We start from the raw sequence: 24,321 nt of genomic DNA on the forward strand, positions 1-24,321 counted from the left end.
GAAAGGAACAGAGTATCAGTGAGTTGTAGGACAACTTCAAACAGCCTAAAGTATGTGTAATTAGTGTTTGAAATAGAAATGGGTGGAGGAGAAATAGAAAAAAGTATTTGCATAAATAATGGCCAAATATTTTTCACCTTTGGTGAAAACCATAAACTGAAATATCCAAGAAGCTCAACAAAATTCAAGTATAGGAGACATGAAGGAAACAACTCCAACATAAATCATAATCAAATTAATAAAATCCAGTGATGAAGAGTCACCTAAATAATAATGCTAAGAGCAGTTCTCATTAAAAGCAATGCAAGAAAGAAGACGGCGGAGCAATGTCTTGAAAACACTAAAAGAAGAATCCTGTCAACCTTGAATTCTTTTTCTTTTCTTTTCATTTTCTTTCTTTCTTTTTCTTTTCTTTTCTTTTCTTTTTTTCTTTATTTTTTTTTTTTGAGACAGGGTCTTACTCTGTCACCCAGGCTGGAGTGCAGTGGCACAATCTCAGTTCACAACATCCAGGGCTTACATGATCCTCCCACTTCAGCCTCCCAAGTAGCTGGGACCACAGGCGTGCAACACTATGCCCAGGTAATTTTGTATTTTTTGTAGAGATGAGGTTTTACCGTGTTGCCCGGGCTGATCTCAAACTTGTGCACTTAAGCAATCTGCCCGCATCAGCTTCCCAAAGTGCTGGGACTCCAGGTGTGAACCACTGGGCCTGCCAACCTTGAATTTTTTTAATAAAAACAAACAAACAAAAACTTTCAAAAAAGGAGACAAAATAAACCCTTTCCAGACATATGCCAAATTAAAGAATTGGTTGCTATCAGACTCTTACAATTAGAAATGGTCAAGGACATCCCTAGACAGAAGGAAAATGATACCACAATGAAATGTGAATTTATACCGAAAAATGAAAACATCAGATATAGTAACCACAAGGATAAACATAGAAACCTCTGAATTGTGTTAATGTCTAATAAAGATAATTAACACTTCAAAGAAAAGCTAACGTAAATACATTGTGATTTGTAATGAAAATGAAAGTAAATTATGTGACAAAGCACAAAAGCTGAAGGGATGAACAACATGTTATAATGGTCTTATACTATATGTGAATATATAATAACACTTGAAGGTAAACCTTGATAAGTTATATACGTACTGTAAACCCAAGCAATCATTAAGATCAACTTTTTTTTTTTTTTTTTTTTTTGGAGTCTGGCTCAGTCGCCCAGGCTGGAGTGCAGTGGCACGATCTTGGCTCACTGCAAGCTCCGCCTCTTGGGTTCACGCCATTCTCCTGCCTCAGCCTCCCAAGTAGCTGGGACTACAGGCACCCACCACTACGCCCGGCTAACTTTTTTGTATTTTTAGTAGAGACAGGGTTTCACTGTGTTAGCCAGGATGGTCTCGATCTTCTGACCTCGTGATCTGCCCGCCTCGGCCTCCCAAAGATAAACCCTTTTAACAGAAATAATTATGGCTAGTAAGCCATATTAGAGTTCTCCACAGAAACAAAATCAATAGGATATGTATGTGTGTATATATGTATAATGTATATATGTGTATATGCATGTGTACATATAATGTATATGTGTGTATATACATATCTAGGTACATATATATGGAGAAGAAATTGGTTCATACAATTGTGGCTGACTAGGATGAAATCTACTGGGCAGGCTGAAGGCTGGACATTTAGGTAAGAGTTGATCTCGCAGTTTTGAGTCTGAATTCTGCAAGGTGGGACTTCAGGAATCCTCAGTATTTGCTCTGAAAACCTTCAGCTCATTAATGATGCCCACATGCATTGTGGAGAGCAGTGTGCTTATATAAAGTCTACAGATATAAATGTTAATCACATCTGAAAATTATCTTCGTGCCAACTTCTATACTCGTATTTGACAAAATCAACTAGGCACTATACCTAGTCAATCTAACACTTAAAATTAAACATCACTTAAACCAGCAAGGAGATAAAAAGAAATAATTTTTAAAAATCAGTCAAAAAAAGGAAACAGAAAAAGGGAAGGAGAAGCAATGAACATATGGCACAAATAGAAAATGAAGGGCAAGTTGGCATATTTCAACCAAATTATGTTACTAATCACATTAATTGTAAATAGTCTAAATATCACAATTAAAAGGCAGAGATTGTCATGTTGAAATGAACAAGACTCAACTATACATGCTGCCTAGAAAAAAAACCACTTCAAATTATAAAACCACAAAAATCCAAGTACAAATTAAGGACAATTCCCCCCACTCCCAAGTCTGTTTCACAAAGCAGTACAAAGAAGGATTCACAGTAAATTTTTTTTTTTTGAAGTCTTACTGTGTCACCCAGGCTAGAGTACAGTGGCACCATCTTGGCTCACTGCAACCTCCACCTTCCAGGTTCAAGTGATTCTCCTGCCTCAGCCTCTGGAGTAGCTGGGATTGCCTGCCACCATGTCTGATGAATTTTTGTAGTTTTAGTAGAGACAGGGTTTCACCGTGTTGGCCAGGCTGGTCTCGACCTTCTGACCTCAAGTGATCCGCTGGCCTTAGCCTCTCAAAGTGCTGGGATTACAGGTGTGAGCCACCATGCCCAGCCCACAGTGAACTCTTAACACACAGTTATAGAAATATGCATCACCTCTCCCATCACCCTTTCCTCTCTCTGGCTTCCAAAACCTTGGTTCTGGTACCAGAGCTGAGGGAAAACATTCCACAGAAATATTAAATCAAGGTGAAGAAGGGAGATTCTCAAGATGTAAGTAAAAGGCAAATGAGGGAATGGAAGTCGCAATGCCCTTGCATGCATAAGGACAGCTCCTGCATGAGAATGTTGTTTGAAACATTACCGAGGAATTGGTGTCCATGTTCATGCAGGACATAGGTCTATAGGATATTTTTGTCATGCCTTTGTCGGGCTCTGGTATCAGAGTAATTCAGGCCTCAAATAGGTAGTAGGGAAATGTTTGCTTCTCCTCTATATTCTGAAGGAGATTGTGTATGATTGGTGTCATTTCTTCCATAAAAACTTGATAGAATTTACCAGTGAAGTCATTTGTACTAGGTGGGCTTTTCTTAGCAGGAAGATTTTAAATTGCTAATTCAATATATTTATGTGTCATAGATCTATTCAGATTTTCTCCTTTATGAATCGATTTTGATAATTTATGTATTTCCAGATACTTATCCACTTCATTTAAGTCATCCATAATTTTGGCATTTATTGTTCGCATTATTCCCTATAACCATTGTACCTTTTGTAAGGTCAGTGGTGATGTCACTCTTTAAGTCATGGTTTTGACAATTTGGGTCAGGAGAAGATTTGGAGGAGGAGAGAACAAGGTTGTCTTGATGTTGTCTTGGCTGGAGTGTGACTTGGAGAAAAATGACTTGAATGAAAATACAGTCAGAGGGAGATATCTGTCAAGTGGTTCTGGTGCCTGGATTTCCACATGTGTGGTGACGGAGCCCAGCCCAGTGCTCTACTCATGCCCAGATGTCCTGGATTATTCCCCTGAAATACTCAGGTGAAGCTCCAGCTACACCATGGCATCCTGATATTTTAAACAGAGAAGACCAGTGTCATGGGCACTGGTGATCTGCTCCTCAGGGCAGACTCACTAACCGTGGCAGCTGGGAATCCCAGGGGCCTCACAGCTCTCACTAACCGTGGCAGCTGGGAATCCCAGGGTCCTCACAGCTCTCACTAACCGTGGCAGCTGGGAATCCCAGGGCCCTCACAGCTCTCACTAACCGTGGCAGCTGGGAATCCCAGGGCCCTCACAGCTCTTTTCTCCCTCAAATTGCTGCTGGCTACAGAGAACTGCCTCCACCAAGGGCATGCCCCTTTCACAGTGTGGCTCAGGCCTAATAACTGCATGAGACTGAAATACCAAGGCCCTGTCTCAGGTTAGGATGACCTTGCAGGGCCTCCCAGATGAGTCCTCAACTGGAGTCAGATTTCAGGCTGCCCAGTTGTGCCCCCCCATACTTCCTTCCAGAGCGAATATCTCCAAACACTACTGTATGCAATTTTCCCTCTCAGAGTCTGATTCCAGGGAACACAAAATAGAAAACAGTCTACAAGGAAGAGTACGGAAGAAGAGAGAGCAGCACAGAGACAGGACTCTGGAATCTGCAAATATTCCTGAGCACTGATGATCCCATGAGTGGAAGGAAAATACTTAAGGCCAAGAAAAGAACCACCCAAAGACATTTGAGGGAACAATTGCAGGGCATGTGCATGCGCGTGTGTGCGCACACACACACTCACACACACACACACACACCATCAGAATAGAGTTTGTTCCTACAACCAGTGTGGAAATGTGTCTAATCAGAGGCATCAGGTTAACTAATCAGAATTTCTCTGCCCTGGCTGAGCAAAGTGGCTTACACTTGTAATCCCAGCAATTTGGGAGGCTGAGGCAGGAGGATCACTTGAGGCCAGGAGTTCGAGACCAGCCTGGGCAACATTGTGAAACCCCATCTCTACAGAAAACTTAAAAAATATAGCTAAGCATGGGGACATGCACCTGTAGTCCTAGCTAATCAGGAGGTTTTAAGCATGAGGACTGCTTCTTGAGCCCAGGAGTTCAAGGCTGTATTGAGCCATGATCTCGCCACACAGTTTCAAAAAAAAGAAAAGAAAAGAGAAAAAAAAATGAATAAGAAAAGCTCTGCCTTAGTATAGGGGGAACTAACTATAGACTAAAATCTGCTCCTATCCCTCCTAGGACACCGTAAGAGCAAGTTCAGAAAGGAACATACTCTCTTCAAGAAACCCTTCTGAATCAAAGAAGACAAAAATATGTGGAGAAATATAAAAATATCATGCACCTAAAAAGCAAAACTTCACGATGTCTGGCATCTTATTACAATAGCAGGACAACGTGAGTCAGAAGTAAAAAAGTTGGTCAGCGCATCATGGCCCTGAAATTGCACAGGTAATACACTTTCTAGACCAGAACAAAAAGCAGTTGTTGTAACTGTAATCCATTTGTCCTGGAGGGTAGAGTATTGATGGAACAAGTTAAATGGAGACATGAAAGACATTTAAAAAACACCTACATTTAAGTCCTAGAAATGACCACAGAAATATATGAAATCAAAGTACTTTGAATGAGATTGCTGGTATATTACATGCTGAAAAAGAAGAGATTAGTGAATCTGATGATATAGTAATGAGAACTATTCAAAATGAAATATGCAAAACTACTGAAAATGACAAGAAAAGAGCATCGTTGAGTTATGGGACAACTGCATGCCAATGCAACCTAAAATAACGTAATTTGTGTTACTGAAAAAAAGAAGTTGGTGGGGGTAGGGGAGTATATAGAAAAACTACAAAACAAAATAATGACTAAAAATGATCCAAATTTTGTGAACATCATAAGCCATCCATTTTCACGAAGCTCAACCAGCCCCTGACAAAATATATTTTAAAATATAAATACGTTAAGATAACAATACCAACACATATCATAATCAAATTGCTAAAGCACAGTGATGAAGAGACACTCTTAAAAGCAGCCAGAAAGAAAAGACATGTTAGATATAATACTAAGAGCAGAGTTCTCATTAGAAGCAATGCATGCAAGAAGACAGGTAGCTACATCTTTATAATATTAAAAGGAACAACTGTCAACCCTGCAGTCTTTACCCGGTGAAATATCTCTCAAAAATGAAGGCCAAATAAAACCTTTTTCAAATAAATAAAACTTACAGAATTGATAAATCACAAGCCGTCACTAAAAGAAATGATGAAAGACATCCCTCATACAGAACAAAAATTATACCAGATAGAAGTGTGAATCTGCACAAAGAATGAAAAGCATCAGAAATGGTGACTACATGGATAAATATTTTAATAGTGCATAATGTAGAAATAAAAGGGCTTGAACAGCACTATAGAACAACTAGACTTAACCGATGCCTGTAGAACTCTTCAAGCAACAAAAGCAGAATGCACATTCTTCTTGCATGCACATGGAACATTCTCCAGAAAAACCGTATAAAACAGATTGATAATTTTTAAAAAGATAGAAATCACACAAAGTATGTTCCCAAAACAATGTCATTAGAGAAATCCAAAAAATTGAGGGAAGACCATGAAAACTGCATGAAAAAAATTGAGATGAATGGACAAATCACTAGAAATACAAATTCTATTAGAAGTGACTCAAGAAGAAATAGAAAACCCGATTAAAACTATAGAAAGAGATTAAGTTAATAATAATAAGAAAAGCCTTCCCATAAGGAAAGGCCCAGACACAGAGGGCCTCACTGGTGACTATTACCAAATGTTTAAAGAAGAATTAATATAATTTATCATTAAACTTTTCCAAAATATAAAAGAGATAAAATCACTTGCCAACTCTTTCTCTGAGGCCAATATTACCCTGATACCAAAACCAGACAGAGCCATTACAAGAAAAGATAAATACAGAGCAATGACCTTACTGGATATAGATACTAAAGTCCTTAACAAAATACCAGAAAATGTAATCTAACAAGATATAAAAAGAAGTACATACAATAACCAAGTGGTGTTTATCCGAGGAATGCAATGATGGTTTAACATCTGTAATTGAATTAATTAATAGAAGGCATCGTATTAATAGAAGAAAGGACGAACCATATTGTCATCTCAAAATCACTTAAAATGTTTTCATGCAAGCAGACTTTCTTTCTTGCTGTTTTTAGGCCATCATGAGAAGTGGAGATGGCATGGGGTAGTATTTCATGCAAAGAATCTGGATATTCCATACTCAACTGTGAGGATACTTTCTGATAAATGTAAAAGATTGTAATATTACGTTTCTGTATGTTCAGAGAACACTTCCTAGACAAGATATGTGTACAGAACCGAAAGGACAATTAGGATTTTGGCAGGCATTGAGTGAGGAGTGGAGTCACTGCAAGTGTCAGTCAGAGAACAAGAAAGATGTTAGGAACCATGTATTTCTACCTGGCCATCCTACTGGGATACCATCCCCTTCCTAACACATCACCCATGTGGCTTGTAAAAATGTCCATACTTGAAACATTTTGTCCACATAATTACAGGTCTAGTGCTGGAATCAAGTTCCCTTTGATGACATCAGGACAGTTAAAGGATCTGCGTGTCTAACTGCCCCCAGGTGATGCTAACATTGCTGCCCTCTGAGGACCACAAGCAAAGTAGCTCAGCTCCTGACCTCCTGCTCCCAGCACAGGTGAGATGCACCTCAGCTACATCTGTGAAGCCCAGGAGACTTTCTCTCCCTCCTCAGGCTCCCTGGAGTGATGACCCAGGACTCATGCCTCTGCACATTTATCCTTTCCCTCAGAGTTTGGGGCCTTATCAGTCCTGTTACATCTTCTCAGCATCTGAAACCACTGGAGAGGTGGTCACCATCTCCTGTGCTGACACAGCAGTGACATTGGGGGTTATAATTCTGTCTCTTGGTAACAAAAGCAACAGGGAAGAGCCCCATATGACTGAGGGGTGAGATCAGGAAAAAGCCTCAGAGATTCCAGTTCTAATCTCAGGCCGTTCTTTGTATTCTTTTATGAGCTAGTTAGTCAGCTGGTCAGTCAGCTGTGGCCACAAGAAGAAATGGAAGAGAGGTTCAGAAAACAGCCCTAGAGACCATAGACCCAGAGCTCTAGAGACAGCAGGCCCAATGTGCTACACAGGGCCACAGGGAAAGGCATCAGGTTCATTAGAAGACAGAAGACAGGAGGGCAGGGGATCCCTTAGACCATGACTTTTATCAGAATTTCCTCAGGAAAAGCAGGGCAAGCTAAAAAATTTATGATTGGCCAGCCTGAATAATGTCAGCAGGCTTTGGGCTACTAAGGTGGTCTCTAGCTGCTTGGTACCTGGCCCTGGGACGATAAAGGCAGAGGAATATTGTATCCTGGGATGCACAAACCAGACAGGGGTGGTGAGGCTCTGAACACGTTAGTTTCCATATGAAAGGCAGGCTTCTGGCTGAGCCCATTGCTCTTTCAAGGAATAGAGAACTGGGGAGACCCAGGAGGGGTGGTCTTTTCCCAGACAGAAATGTTTTTTAAGATGTCAAAATATCAAAATATATAGAAAATTATATACAGTTGACCCTTGAATAACATTGGTTTGAACTGCATGGGTCCATTGATTTTCTTCTGCCCCTGTCACCCCTGAGACAGCAAGATCAACCCCTCTTCTTGCTCTTCCTCTTCAGCTACTCAACCCGAATATAAAAAAGATAAAATCCTTTATGACGATTCAGTTCCATTTAATGACTAGTAAATATATTTTCTCTTCCTTATGATTTTTAAAATAACATTTTCTGTTCTCTGGCTTACTTCATTATAAAAAATACTGTATATAATATACATAACATACACAATCTGTGTTAATTGACTGTCTAAGCTAGGCCTGGCTCTGACCCTGATCCTGGGAGACACTTTAGGCAGATTACTCTGGAAATAAGTCCCTCAGTCTCTGACCATCTCTCTCTCCTCGGCGGGTTCTCTGTCCTCCCATGGGAGCTCAGTGCCCATGGTGCAGACAGCCCCTCTCAGCTGCTCAGGACCAAGTAGGGAAGCTCTGCTCTGTCTTGGTACCCGCAGAACCCAGGCTGGTGCCCATGCTGGGACTTTAATGTGGTGACAAAACTCCTCATGCAGTGCTGATTGATTCTCTGACAGTGTCTAGGAATGTAATTCCCCTGACCAGGGGACAGGTTGAGGATGAGTTTCAGGGGGGATGACAACAAGACTTCCAATGACACAGCCACAGGGAGAATTGAGATGCACAATCTGCTGTCCCCAGCCTGGATCACACGCTCCCCCTGCATTTAGGAAAGTTGCTTAGAATTAGGCTGAAGAGGTCAGGATTCAGTTTTAACATTGACCTCTCTCTCATTTTCTCTTTTACTCTCTTTTCTCCTTCTCTCTTCCTCTCTCTTTCTTTCTCTTTCTCTATGATACTGAAGCCCTTATTCACCCCCATTCTCAGCTATGAAATGGACATGGAACCCTGACATCGTGAGTTTCCTCAAGGATCACAGGAGTGGAGTAAAGATCTGAGCCCTGTCTCCAGGTGTCCTCAAGGGTCTACATCACAGGCTCCTCCATCCTGCTCTTCCCTTACACAGGGGCTCCCCTCAGATCCTGCCCATGCCTAAATTTAGGCCCCATTTCTTTGAGACCTGTGGACACTTCATCCTGAGGTTCCTGAGGGTTTTTCTCCCTGCTGACGGGAGATCCCACTGATCACATGGTCTGCTTGTTGTTTCTCAATCCTGGAGCACAGCTGCAAGTGTCACCTGAGACACGGCCAATCCCCCATACAGGACAGCAGTGAAGGTGGAAGAATCCCAGAGTGACCGGGTACCGTCATTCATTCAAATTCCATGGGGCTCTTGCTGCATCACTGGGTGTCATCCTTTGGGAACCTGGACTTCTAAACTATAAGACTCAGAGTTAGAAAACAGAATCATAAATTCCCCATGTAAGCCACTACTTCCACCCCTGGTCCTGGACTCAGATATGTTACTAATGAGGAACACAGTTCCTCATAGTGGCTGCTGATTGAGGACATGGTGGGCAAACTGTGGTTGATGGACACATCTGTCTTGCATCCTGCATTGGAACACAGTCTTGCTCATGTCTTTATGAGTGACATGTGGCTGTTTTCATGCTGCAATACAAGGCTTGGTTGTGGTGACAGAGATCCTATGGTCTGAAAATCTGAAATACTATACTAAAGGTCCCATACTGTATCATGTCTTCTACATGAATTATCTACAATAGACAAATCCATGCAGGCAGAAAGAAGATGAGTGGTTGCCCAGAATTGGAGAAGGTGATGAAAGAGGAGAGGCTGCTCACTGGGTGCAGAATTTTCTTTTGGGTGATGAAAATGTAGGAGAACTACACACACAGCTGGTGGCTGCCCAACAAAGTGAAGGTGCTAAGTGCCACTGCGTTGTACATTTTGAAGTGATTAATTCTAGGTTATATGAATTCCACACAATACAAAACTATGATTTTCAGAAATTGACTGTTATAATTGTGTTATTATATCTACAACTTTATGATGGCACTAAAGGACCATGAGCAGTCAATGCAAAGGATCCAGACAATATTTCAAGGGCTCTTCCAGAGTAACAAGACATGAAAAGGCAGCTCTGGTTCTCTCTTGCCTGGCGTATTTTACCCTCGGAGTTTTTTGTTTTTTTGTGTTGTTGTTGTTGTTGTTGTTGTTATTGTTGTTGTTGTTGTTACAGAGTCTCGCTCTGTCGCCCAGGTTGGAGTGCAGTGGCGCGATCTCGGCTCACTGCAAGCTCTGCCTCCCGGGTTCACGCCATTCTCCTGCCTCAGCCTCCTGAGTAGCTGGGACTACAGGCGCCCGCCACCGCGCCCGGCTAATTTTTTGTATTTTTAGTAGAGACGGGGTTTCACCGTGTTAGCCAGGATGGTCTCGATCTCCTGACCTCGTGATCCGCCCGCCTCGGCCTCCCAAAGTGCTGGGATTACAGGCTTGAGCCACCGCGCCCAGCCAACCCTCGGAGTTTTTATGAGCACCGAAGGGTGCAGGGAGCTGGAAGCTACCCACCAGGTGCCTGGCTCACTCATGTCTGGGTGCAGCAGCTCCCCCAACAGGCAGCTGGCAGAACTGAAAGGGAAGAGCTATATCCTTCTGAGCCCCCACAATTGTGGTGCAGGATTGTTCCCGACACTCCCATCCAGTCTGCTTGCTCCTGCACACTTAGAAATGATCATTATTTCTGCCCAGGACCTCCCTGGTCTTGCTCTCCCCTCTTCCTCCCCAGGCGACCTTGGGAACTTTACTCACCCTCTGGCCCTTCCCTCCTCTGTCCAGTGTTTTCCCCACCCACTGTGATCAGCTCAGATCAGCGAGTCTGTGGGACATTAGGGATCAGTCACCCATGTGAGGCCCTCGACGGGGTCCCAGGATGGAGCAGTGTATGTCCCCACAAGGCTGCTTATTGCACAAGTAATGGAGGAACAAAGGGGTGGGTAAGCCCCCTCCTGGGCAGCTTCAGACCCTGCTAAAATAGGAAACAGCCTGGGGCAGGTCTGACCCCACTTGTGTCTCTCCTGCCCCCACCCCAGCAGCAGCGTCCTGGAGGCCATACCATGTGCTAAGCAGATGCCAAGATCACGTCATTCATCATCACCTGGAAATTCCCCTAACCACACCTTAATACGCTGCACTCGTGCCTCAGCTAAAAGTATCACACACTGCATTGCAATGAGTTTGGATCCCAGACCCCCTTGATGTTTGTCACTGCTCTTTCAGATCCTCGAAAACACCTACCCCTCCCTGCAGGTCAGTGACAGACTCTTCTTCCTCACACTTCCTTTCACTGTTTCTTCCTTCCTGAGAGCAGCTCCAGAGACTCCTCTTCAGGGAGGCGCCCCAACCTCTGATTACACAGCAGTCTGCCTGTCATTTTCTGTGTATGCATTCTATTAATGATCTGCAGAGCACCTAAACTTCATGCCTCTTTTCCTAACATGTTTATTAATTGATTTTCTGGTGCTAAATACTCCTACAATCAATCAAAAATGCTTCTCCTCTGCTTGGACACTCATGAGAAACAGTCATGAACCATTTGCTATTTTATCCTCAAAAAGTAAGTGTGGAGTTCACTGCTGTTCCCCACATACTCACCAAATAATGAGAAACCCAGCAATTACCCAACTTTCTGCTCCACCATCATGACACAGTAGGCTTTTCTTTCATTTGTGTGGACTTAAGACCTCAGGATGGCTGCTGCAGCTCCAGCTATTATACCCATATTCAAGAGCAAAGGTGCTGCACGAAAACAGTCTGTTTATTTCCATCACAAGAGAAAATGTTCCCTGAGAAGATCTCCAACCACCTGACCCTTACAGCCCTGGGGCCAGCATGGGACCATGTGGTCAGTCCAAGCCAAGAGTGACCAGGGAAAACAAGGATCTTTTTGTAAATAAATAGAGGAGAAAATACACAGGTAGAAGATGGTGCTTCTACTACAAACTGTTTCTATTACACAGCCCCAACCCCCATGTAGGAAACTCCTGGGGTCAGAGACAGTCTTTCTCGTGCTGAATTCCCAGGATGGAATATTGCCGGATCAGAGTGGGTCTCAATAAATACTGGCTGGGTGGATATGCTCCTGCCTTTGTTTTTGGGGCAGGAGCCACCACTGCCTCATGTTTTTCTACACCTGGAGCCATGAAACTTGGTGTCTGAGGTCTGCGGCACTATATGCAGAGCCTTGGTAAGATGCACTGGACCACTTACCAACCCAGTGACAGTAGAGGGATGTCTTAGGTGGGCCCTACCCATTTTCCTCCAATAGGACGTGCTCATAATTTCATGGGTAACCGAGCCCCTTATGCCTGGTATTGAGGCATATAAGGCCAAATAAAGAAGAGGAATTCCTCTCTTGGAACCAGCAGTCCATGGACAAGGGAATCAGGGACCTGAGCAGCAGGTTCTGAATCCACACCTGATCTGGGGCAGGACCCAGAACCTATCAAAGTCTTCTGCTGTTAACTATAGAATGGGCTCACAAAATGCAGACAGAATGATCTGTGAACTCCACCTGGCCTGGCTAGCTGAGAACCAAGGCCAAGACATAGTTTAAGGTAAAGATGTTGGCCCAGACTTTGGGACCAGCAAGTGAAGGAGAATTCTGTGGGCTGAGGTGGGTCTGTAGGGTCCTCCCCTCCCCTCTCTGTGTCCCTTGGGGCTGAGCCCTTCTCTGGAAACTACAAAGCTACTCCAGTAGCAGCCCCTGATTCTGCTGACTTGCATCACGGGCCGCTTTCTCCATCAAGGGGATAAGAGAGGCCTGGGAGAAACCTACCCGCCCTGGGCCACAGGAAGCAGCATCAGGGATGTCTCAGTCATGGACTGGACCTTTCTCAGCCTCCTCGCTCACTGCACAGGTGCTGCCGCCAGAGTCCCAGCCACCCGCCCAGCCCCGGGCTGTGGGACCAGGCTGGCCTTGATTGTGAGCTCAGCAGGGCTCTGCCTGTGGTGGAAAGGATGCTCATGACCTTGCTGCAGGGTGAGGGGCTGGTAAGGTTGAAATCTTCCTGTACTCCTGTGCTCATGGGCACTCTGAGGGGCACAGTCAGGCTCCCTTTCATCCCAGAAGCTCTGTCCCAGCCAGGCAGGTGCAAAGGAATCCTGAGGATCAGCTCCTCAGCTTCAAGCCTTTTCTCCCTCATCTCCTGCAGGTTTCATGGCCACATATGAGCTGTCTCAGCCACCCTCAGTGTCAGTGGCCCCATTACAGATGGCCAGGATCACCTGCTGTGGAAATACTGTTGGAGGTGGATATGTTTATTGGTACCAGCAGAAGTCAGGCCAGACCCCTGTGCCGGTCATCTATAAAGACAGCAAGTGGCCCTCAAGGACCCCTGAGTGATTCTCTGGCTCCAACTTGTGGAACACAGCCACTCTGACCATTAGTGGGGCCCAGGCCAGGGACGAGGCTATTACTGTAGCACCTATGATGGCTGAGGGAGCAGCAGGCAGTGGCTCACAGTGAAACAGACAGATGGGGATGTGGGACAGGAACCTCTAATATAACTAGGCTCAATATCTCACATCCTCTCTAAGCCAGGATGTCCAACATTTTGGCTTCTCTGGGCCACATTGGAAGAAGAAAAATTGTCTTGGGCCACACATAAATACATTAACACTAACAATAGCTGATGAGCTTAAAAAATTGCAAAAAAATCTCATAAAGTTTTAAGAAAGTTTACAAATTTATGTAGGGCCACGTTCAAAGCCATCCTAGGCTGCATGTGGCCTGCAGGCTGCAGGCTGGACAAGCTTGCTCTAAGCAGTGACCATGACTTTGGTCTCAGTTCACTCAGGTGGTTTCTCATGGTAGCCAAAGCAGCAGGAGAAACTGTCGGATTTCTATTTAACCATGAATTTTACAATTACATTCATTGTAAATCCAAACATCTTGTCCCTTTATTACCTGGGCCCTACAGAGACTAGTGCACAGGTTCATGGGATAAGAAATGTCTCCAGAGAGCTTGGTTTCTGCACTAGAGACAGTCGTTTCCCTCCCTTTCAACACAGAGTGTGGCAGGAAAGGAACCAGTTCTCTGAGCTAACCCTGAGAACTTGGGCTTGAGAAAAAGAAAGCATTTTGAACCAGTAGGATTGTGCCCACAGAATGAGATGTGCTACTCTGGCCCAGCCCAACTCCTTTCATTTCAGGAGCTCTGTCTGGGCCAGGCAGGTGCAATGGAATCCTAGGGATCAGCTCCTCAGTTTCAAGCCTTTTCTTCTCTGGGTGTCTGAGAACAGGAGTTGTCTTGCACGTGCACATGAGAAAGAAGTGCACACACGACTCTCAGGTGTGAGCAGCAAAGACAGAACAAACCTTTCCAGAAGGGGCAAATTTCATTAAGATGACAGGGCCTTGTTACACAACCCCACATGTCTGGACTGGGATCTCCTATTGGATCTTGCCATAAATGCAAGGTTTCTTCTCCCATCATAAATTCCTGCATTGCAGTAGACCCAGCTGGGTTCTAGGGCTCAACCAGCAGGGCACTCCCACCACTGTGTGGACCTGCTGCAGAGCCTTCCTGCTCTAGGACCCACAGACATGCAACTTTTCTTTGTTTTTGCTATTTGGGTTGGAGCAACATCCCAAGAGTGAATAATGCTTCTTCCAGAATCCATCATGACCATATATACTTCTTGATGCGAAGTTAGGATGTAATAATGTGTCCTTTTTTTCTATGGGAGGTGCTCAGCTGTTCCAAACAAGAAGACCCTAAACATTTCTGCTCATATGAAGGATGACTCCCTAGGTTTGCTTTCCTATTCTCTGAATGCATGGGTCTCCCCAAATCTTCCAATGACCTTTCACTGCATGCACATCTCATCCAAATACCACCACATGGTGGATGCTTGGGCATGGTAGCGGGTGCCTGTAATCCCAGCTACTTGGGAGGCTGAGACAGGAGAATCACTTGAACCCAGGAGGCAAAGGTTGCAGTAAGCCAAGATTGCACCACTGCACTCCAGCCTGGGTGACAGAGCAAGACTTGGTCTCAAAAAAAAAAAAAAAAAAAAAAAGAAAGAAAAGTTTATATTTTTGTTCTAATGGTTATCTTAATATCTTCATTCTATAATTATATGTTTTATATAATTATAATAGCTATATAAGATATAATACCCCTAGTATGTTGTTTTTTGGATATTCTACTTGCTCCTGATGGTTAATTTATGTGTCAACTTGGCTAAGCTATGGTGTCCCGTTGTTTGGTCAAATACTTGTCAATATCTTGCTGGGAGGTTATTTCATAGATGTGATTAACACTGACAGTCAATTGACTTTAAGTAAAACAGATCACCCACCATAATATGGGTGGGCCACCTCCAATCAGTTGAAGGCCTTAAGAACAAAAACTGAGGTTTCCCAGAGAAGCAGGAATTCTGCTTCAAGACTGTAACACACAAACCCTGCCTGAGTTTCTGGCCTGCTGACTGCTCTACAGATTTTAGGTTCCAGACTTCGAGATCAACTCTTACCTGAATTTATAGCCTGCTGGTTTGCCCTACAGATTTTAAACTTGCTAGTCCCCACAATTATGTAAGCCAATTCCTAAATAAATCTCTCTATGTATAACCTATTGGTTTAGCTTCTCTGAAAAGCTTTCACATCCAGTTTCCTGGATGTTAAGAATTACTGAAACTAGCTAGTAACTTACTTTTTTTTTTTTTTTTTTTGAGACAGAGTTTTGGTCTTGTTGCCCAGGCTGGAATGCAATGGCACAATCTCAGCTCACCTCAACCTCCACTTCCTGGGTCCAAGCAATTCTCTTCCCTCAGCCTCCTGAGTAGCTGGGATTACAGGCATATGCCACCATGCTTGGCTAATTTTTGTATTTTTAGTAGAGACACGGCTTCTCCATGTTGGTCAGGCTGGTCTTGAACTCCCAACCTCAGGTGATCCGCCGCCTTGGCCTCACAAAGTGCCTCACATGAGCCACCACGCCTGGCTCCTAGTAAATTCTTCTTTTCCGTGATGTGTCTCTTACCTCTAATAATACTTTTCTTCTTAAAGTCTACTTCATTAAAAATAGTTATGCTGGGCATGGTGGCTCATGGCTGTAATCTCGGCACTTTGTTGGAGGTCGAGGTGGGTGGATCACTGAAGCCCAGGAGTTCAAGACCAGCCTGGGCAACATGGCGAGACCCTGCCTCTACAAAAAATACAAAAATTAGCTGGGTGTGGCTAATATAATTCTAAGTTGGCACACTTGTAGTCCCAGCTACTTGGGATGCTGAGGTGGGAGAATCGCTTGAGCCTAGAAGGGAGAGATTGCTGTAAGCCAAGATCACATCATTGCACTCCAGCCTGGGAGACAGTGAGGCTCTATCTCCAAAAAAAAAAAAAAAAAAAAAAAAAGTTATACAGCTTTCTTGGTTAGTACATGCATGACATATTTTTCATTATTTTCTACCTCTCTGTATCCTTATATAAAAGGCATTAGTTGGGTTTTACTTTATTTTCAATTATTTTAATTTTTATTGTCCTTTTAAATGTAACTAATGATTTATTTACGTTGAAACCCACCACCAATTTGTTTTCCATGCCTATTCTATTTCTTCTTATCTCCTCTCACATCTTGTTTTGGATTTATTATTTTTATTATTTAATTTCCTCCTTCTCTATTAGTTTCATAACTGTGCAGTCTTAGAGTTATTTTAAAAGATGACAGTGGATTATTTTAGAGCTTACAACATGCATCCTTCACTTATCAAAGCCTAACATGAGCTAGTACTTTTTGTTGTGGTTGAGACAGAGAGAGTCTTCCTCTGCTGCCCAGGCTGGAGTGCAGTGGAGCAATCTTGGTTCACTGCAACCTCCACTTCTTGGGTTCAAGCAATTCTCCTGCTTCAGTCACCTGAGTAGCTGGGACCACAGGTGTGCACCACTATGCCCGGCTAATTTTTGTATTCTTTTTTAGTAGAGACAGGGTTTCACCATGTTGGCCAGGCTGGTCTTGAACTCCTGACCTTAAGAGATCTGCTTACCTCGGCGTCCTAAAGTGTTGGGATTACAGGCGTGAGCCACCACGCCCAGCCTATGAGTTAGTACTTCTATCCTCTTCCTAGTCAGTAGAAGAACCTTGGAACAGGAACTAAATTTACCCCCAGTGACTTATATGCTAATATTTTTGTGTATTTTAAACATATGTGTGTGCATAGATGTATCTGTGTGTTTTTTGTGTTTTTATTCTTATTTATGTTGAGAGTGTAGAGCTATGTAAGAGTAAAGAGAATTGTGTAATGAAGCCCCGAGTATCCATTCAATTTCAACAACAATCTTATGGCCAAGCTCATTTCATGTATACTCTTTCCTGCTTCCCTCTACCCCACATTATTTCAGTGCAAATCCCAGATATATAACTGTACCCATACATATTTCAGTATGTTTTATTTATTTTAAACCCCACAAGATATCATTTTCTATACTACTGTAATTTCATACCAATAACATTCATTTAGATTTACCCACACATCTACCTCTTCTGTTACCCTTTATTTTTATTTATAAAAATATCTTTGGGAAAAAATATCCTTCAGCACATGGTCAAGGATCTCCTGAGGGCTATGTCATGGACAAAATATACATATATATTCCATATATATACACACATATACACACACACATATATACACATACACACACACACACACACACACACACACACACACACATATATATTCCACTTTCACTTTTTTGTTTGTTTTTTGAGACCGAGTCTTGCTCTGTGGCCCAGGCTGGAGTGCAGTGGTGGGATCTCAGCTCACTGCAACTTCTACCTCCTGGGTTCAGGTGATTCTCCCGTCTCAGCCTCCTGAGTAGCTGGGATTACAGGTGTTAGCCATCACGTCTGGCTAATTTTTGTTTGTTTGTTTGTTTTTGAGACGGAGTATCACTCTGTTGCCCAGGCTGGAGTGCAGTGGCATGATCTCGGCTCACTGCAACCTCCATCTCCCTGGTTCAAGCAATTCCCCTGCCTCAGCCTTCCAAGGAGCTGGGATTACAGGTGCATGCCACCATGCCTGGATAATTTTTTTGTATTTGTAGTAGAGACCGGGTTTCCCTATGATGGTCAGACTAGTCTTGAACTTCTGACTTCAGGCAATCCGCCCACCTCGGCCTCTCAAAGTGCTGGGATTATAGGCATGAGCCACCGTGACTGGCCTGTTTTTTTTTTTTTTGAGATGGAGTTTTGCTCTGTCACCCTGGCTGGAGTGCAGTGGCAAGATCTTGGCTCACTGCAACCTCCACCTCTCGGGTTCAAGCAATTCTTGTGCCTCAGCCTCCTGAGTAGCTGGGATTACAGGCATCCACCACCACATCTGGCTAATTTGTGTATTTTTGGTAGAGATGGGGTTTCACCATGTTGGCCAGGCTGGTCTCGAACTTCTGACCTCAGGTGATCCACCTGCCTCGGCCTTCCAAAGTGCTGGGATTACAGGGAGGAGCCACCATGCCCAGCCATTTTCACTTTTGAAGGATATTGTTAGTGAGCATAGAATTCTAGGTTGGCAGATATTTTCTTTCCTCAGTTTGAAAACATGATTCCTTGTATCTGATTTCTCCTGCTTTTATTGGGAAGCCAATTCTCAATCTAATTTTGCTCATTTGAAGGCAATGGCTTTTTATGTTGTTGTGTTTTCTGAGATGGAGTCTTACTCTGTCGCCCAGGCTGGAGTGCAGTAGTGCAATCTCAGCTCACTGCAACCTCTGCCTCCTGGGTTCAAGTGATTCTTCTGCCTCAGCCTCCCAAGTAGCTGGGATTACAGGTGTCCACCATCACACCTGGCTAATTGTTGTATTTTTAATAGAGATGAACTTTTGCCATGTTGGTCAGGCTGATCCCAAACTCCTCATTTCAGGTGATCCGCCCGCCTCAGCCTCCCAAATGCTGGGATTACAGGCATGAGCCAGCCCCCAACCCTGGCCTGAAGGCAGTATCTTTTTTCCTCTGGCTGCTTTGAAAAGTTTTGTCTTTGTTTTGAGCAGTTTACACTGATGCATTGAGGTGGCTCTTCATTCCATGACTTGATTCTTTTTTGTCCATTTTAGAAAATTGTCAGCTTTATCTCTTCAAGTATTACGTCTTCCCCATCCTCTCTCTACTCTCCTTATGAGACTCCAATTTCACATGACTTATGCCTTGTTAAAGTATCCCCCATGTCTCTTAATCCATTCCTGTATGTTCTATCTATTTTTCTCTTTGTACTTCAATTTGTATAGTTTGTATCAAACTATCTCCCAATTAGCCGGGCGTGGTGGTGGGTGCCTGTAATCCCAGCTACTTGGGAGGCTGAGGCAGGAGAATTGCTTGAACCCGGGATGTGGAAGTTGTAGTGAGCCGAGATCATGCCACTGCACTCTAGCCTGGGCAACAGAGTGAGACCCTGTCTCAATAAATAAATAAATACATACATACATACATACATACATACATACATACATACATACCAGTTCACTATTTTTTTTATGTTTGTGTCTAGTGTGCTGTTCAAATTGAGTTCCTAATTCCATTTTTTTTGAGACTTTTTTTTTTTGAGTCTCTATCTGTTGCCCAGGCTGGAGTTCAGTGGTGCAATCTCAACTCACTGTAGCCTCCATCTCCCAGGTTCAAGGGATTCTCATGCCTCAGCCTCTCGAGTAACTGGGATTACCACCATGCCTAACTCATTTTTGTATTTTTAGTAGAGATGGGGTTCTGCCATGTTGGCCAGGCTGGTCTTGAACTCCTGGCCTCATGTGATTGGCCTACCTCTGTCTCCCAAAGTGCTGGGATTATAGGCCTAAGCCACCACTCCCAGCCTCCATTTTTTTTTTTTTTTTTTTTTTTGAGACGGAGTCTCGCTCTGTCGCCCAGGCTGGAGTAGAGTGGTGCGATCTCGGCTCACTGCAACCTCCCCCTCCCAGTTCAAGTGATTCTCCTGCCTCAGCCTCCCGAGTAGCTGGGACTACAGGAGCATGCCACCATGCCTGGCTAATTTTTGTAATTTTAGTAGAGATGGGGTTTCACCATATTGGTCAGGCTGGTCTTGAACTTCTGACCTCAGGTGATCCACCCACCTCAGCCTCCCATAGTGCTGGGATTACAGGCATGAGTCACCACACCTAGTGCATCCATTTTTTGTAGCTGCCAGTTTTCTGATGAAATTCTTAATTATTTCTTTATATCCTTGATACACATGTAAAGAATTTATTTTAAAGTACATGGTCTGATGATTTTATATTCTGGAGATCCTATGGGCCTTTTTCAAAGTTGTCTGTGCTTTCTCTTGAGTTTTGTTCCTGCTGTCTTATTTCCTTGTTTGCTTGGTTGTTTTTAATTTGGCAATGGAAGTTGTGTATAAAAATTGTTACAAATAATTTTTTTTTTTTGAGATGGAGTCTCGCTTTGTTGCCCAAGCTGGAGTGCAATGATGTGATCTCGGCTCACTGCAACCTCTGCATCCCAGGGTTCAATTCTCCTACCTCAGCCTCCCAAGTAGCTGGGATTGCAGGCAGGTGCCAGCACGCCTGGCTAATTTTTGTATTTTTAGTAGAGATGGGTTTTCACCATGTTGGTCAGGCTGGTCTCAGACTCCTGACCTCGTGATCTGCCCACCTCAGCCTCCCAAAGTGCTGGGATTACAGGCGTGAGCCACTGCGCCCAGCCAGAAATAATTTTTAAAAATAATTTCGAGCCCAAGCATGATGGCTCATGCTTGTAATCCCATCACTTTGGGAGGCTGAGGCAGGCAGATTGCTTGAGCCTAGGAGTTCAAGATCAGCCTGCGCAACATGGTGAAACCCCATCTCTACAAAAAATAAAAAATTAGCTGGGTGTGGTGGTGGTGTGTGCCTGTAGTCCCAGCTGTTTGGGACGCTGAGGTGGGAGGCTCACTTGAGCCTGGGTGATCGAGGCTGCAGTGAGCCATGATCCTGAGACTGTACTCCAGCCTGGGCAACAGAGTGAGATGCTGTCTCAAATAAATAAATAAATAAAAATAAAATAATTTGAGGCCTAGGGCTCTGAAATTCTGAGATCTCCTTTATGCATTTGAGTGACTGAGATGATCTGAAGCTGGATCCAGTGCTCCTGAGGGCTGCTTTATTTCTGGTTGACTGTGACTCCTAGAGTAAGAAACCTGCACCCCATGTGTGGGGTATTATGGCATCCCCTCCCTCAGCCACATGAGTAAGTCAACAGCACTGCTCTAGACCAGGTGTGGTGGCTCACGCCTATAGTCCCAGCTACTCGGGAGACTGAGGCAGGAGGATTGCTTCAGGCCAGGAATTTGAAACCAGCCAGAGCAATATATTATTAGGTTGGTACAAAAGTAATTGCGGTTTTTGCCTTTAAAAGTAATGGCAACCCTGTTTCAGCAAAGTAAAAAGCAAAAAAAAAAAAAAAAAAAGGAAGGAAGAATTAAAAAAAGAATCAGCTGGGCGTGGTGGCTCACGCCTCTAATCCCAGCACTTTGGGAGGCCAAGGCGGGCAGATCATGAGATCAGGAGATCGAGACCATCCTGGCTAACACGGTGAAACCCCATTTCTACTAAAAATACAAAAAATTAGCCGGGCGTGGTGGCAGGCGCCTGTAGTCCCAGCTACTCAGGAGGTGGAGGCAGGAGAATGGCATGAACCCAGGAGGTGGAGGTTGCAGTGAGCCGAGATCATGCCACTGCACTCCAGCCTGGGTGACAGAGTGAGACTCCGTCTCAAAAAAAAAAAAAAGAATCACTGCTCTGTCTCTCAGCCTCCTCTTCCAGGATTGGCCGTCGCCTTGAGGGGAATGCTGGCCTTGCCTGTCTCCAGCCCTGTACCTCTCTGCCTCCTATGCCTTTAAGCACATGTTTTCTATTTGCTGGGCTGTGAAATCTGCTCTTCATCTGATGGGGTTTGCTTTATAGGTGACTAGATTCTTTTCTCTTGGTGGTTTTAGATTTCGCATTTTCACATTGACCTTAAATAGTCTGATTATAGTTTGCCACGGCAAAGACCCTTTGCATTGCATTGTTTGGGGATATTTGAGCCTCCTCTATCTGGATGTCTAATCTCTTGTTAGATGTGAGTAGTTTTCATTATTATTTTATTAATGGGCTGGCATGTGGGCCTTGGTTCCAGGCGGGCTCAGAGGGGCAGCTGCCTGATGTCTGGGCAGCTTCTCTTTCTGTCTTTTCTTACCTGGACTCTGGGTTGCTTGTTAGCTGCTTCTGCCAGTTCTGAGTTTTCAAGGGGAGAGGGGCCCAGTGATGGCTGTTCTTTGAAGGAAAGGGAAGAATGTCTCCTGTTTAACATGTTTCTATGTTTCCAGTTACTTGGTTAGTTAGTTAGAGCCAGGGTCTCTCGCTCTGTTGCGCAGGCTGGAGTGCAATGGCATGATCGTGGCTCACAGCAGCCTCCACCTTCCAGGCTCGAGCAATGCTCCCACCTCAGCCTCTCAAGCAGCTGGGACTGCAGGTATGTGCCACCATGCTTGGCTGCCTTTTTAAATTTTTTTTTTTTAATACAGACAAGGTCTCACTATATTGCCCAGGCTGGTCTTAAACTCATGGGCTCAAGTGATCCTCCTGCCTCGGCCTTTCAAAGTGCTGATATCACAGGCAGGGTTTCCATTTTTTAAAGCTCCCAGCAGTGGTATAAACTCCTCCTTTCCAGAGAAAGCGCACTCTGTCCGCATCCCTCATGTTGTCCTCTCCTGCCTCTGCTTAGGGTTCACTCCGGGGGAAAGTGCCACTTGAGAGTTTCCTTTTTATGTGTGGTTCTGACTGACCGCTCCCTGCTCACAGATGCTGCTTCTCAGGGTGGGGTCCCTGAGGCCTGGAGTGTGGCCTCTGACGACCTTCAGGGCCAGGTGCGGAATGAGAGCCTGTGGCCACATGGCCCCCGGTGGGAGACGTCCCGCCGCCCTTTGCTTCTCTGTGCCACTCTGGCTGCACAGTTCAGAGCCTTGGGAAACGTTAACCAGTAGGACCTAGAAGGGGAGGTGAGAAGGGGTCACCCCCCAGGTGTGCCTGTGGTGAGCCTTCGTGCTGAGCAGGTGCAGGGAGGGAGGCCCAGGTGCACACACCTGTGAAGTAGGGGCAGCTGGCTGGGCTCCTTGACCTGCTCCAGAGCTTCTTATTTTCTGGCCACTTCACCTGCAGAAGGCCCAGGTGGCTGTAGCCGCTAGGGTCCCTTGCAGTGGAAATGATGCCTGTCCTCAGCCCCTCTCTAGGCCTGGCGCTGTGCTCAGCACCGTCGTGTGTGTGTATGTATATGTGCACGCATGTGAATGTGTGCAGACATCATGAGGTGTGGTCCCTGCTGTTAGGCAGCTTGCCTTGTGGCTGAAGTGAACCATCACCTGAATCAAGGGATGGAAACACAAGGCCAGATGCAGTGGCCTTCTATGGAGTCAGACGGTGGCTCCGTGACCTGGCTTCACTCCAGAACTACCTGGGGTTTCTAGCTGTGCAAATCCCAGGTCCCACTCAGATTATGAGTCCAGTTCTCTGCAGGTGGAACCCAGGAAGGTGTATTTTTAACAAGATGGTACTGCTCATTCACCCAGCCCAGCCAGTGGTCTTGGCATACCCAGGAACCGCTGACATAGAGCTTGTGCTCCCCATAAAGTGGGAAACAGAGCGTTCCTGGGTGGGGGACATGTGGCTTGGTCATGACAGTCAGGGTGTTACATACCAGGACAGACTGTGTTCGGGTGACATTAAGGACAAGCTCCTGCAGGCTAGCTGCCTGGATAGTGCTGGCTGGGGGTAGAAGTTAGAGGGGTCACAGAGGGGCTTCCTCCCGGCCCCCTCATCAGCTGCTTGATTTAGGGCTTGGTTCTGGGTCCTTCTGGGCCTGATTCTGAACCATGGGACTGGTGTGGCCTGCAGGCTCCTCCCGCCACAAGCTGTTCATGGTGCAGGGGGAGAACAGTGTCCACAATTCCCCAGACAGCAGCTGTGGATGCCAGGCCCCCAGGAGTTGTTACTGAAGTTGCTGCTGGACAGCTCGCCTTTCACTGAGCTCCACATAGCACCCGTGGTGATGGGAGCCGGATGGAGAGAGCCTGCCAGCCTGCACATCAGCTCCCAACTGGGCGGGGCAGAGGGAGGAGGGGGTGGGGACCCCAGGCAGCAGGGCTCTGGGAGCAGTGGGGCCCTGGGTTCCAGGGGTGTCTGGCAGGCCCCTCCTTACTCTACGTCTCTCAGCCTCTGGATGGAGGTGCTGGCCGCAGTCGGGCTCTGCCTCTGACTAAGGGTTGGGGAAGTGGCGGGTGTGGGC

General features: G+C 44.9%; 1 pseudogene and 1 further gene; both read left to right on the plus strand.

The window, feature by feature from the left end:
* Positions 1-24,321, plus strand: part of IGL (immunoglobulin lambda locus) — an 896,838-nt gene that overhangs the window by 579,603 nt on the left and 292,914 nt on the right.
* IGLV3-30 (immunoglobulin lambda variable 3-30 (pseudogene)) lies at positions 13,040-13,533 on the plus strand (annotated as a pseudogene). The gene is given in 2 exon segments: positions 13,040-13,085; positions 13,228-13,533. Coding segments are annotated over 2 exon segments (352 nt in total).

The sequence above is a fragment of the Homo sapiens genome, chromosome 22 (assembly GCF_000001405.40).
Source record: "Homo sapiens chromosome 22, GRCh38.p14 Primary Assembly".
NCBI classification, from domain to species: domain Eukaryota; kingdom Metazoa; phylum Chordata; class Mammalia; order Primates; family Hominidae; genus Homo; species Homo sapiens.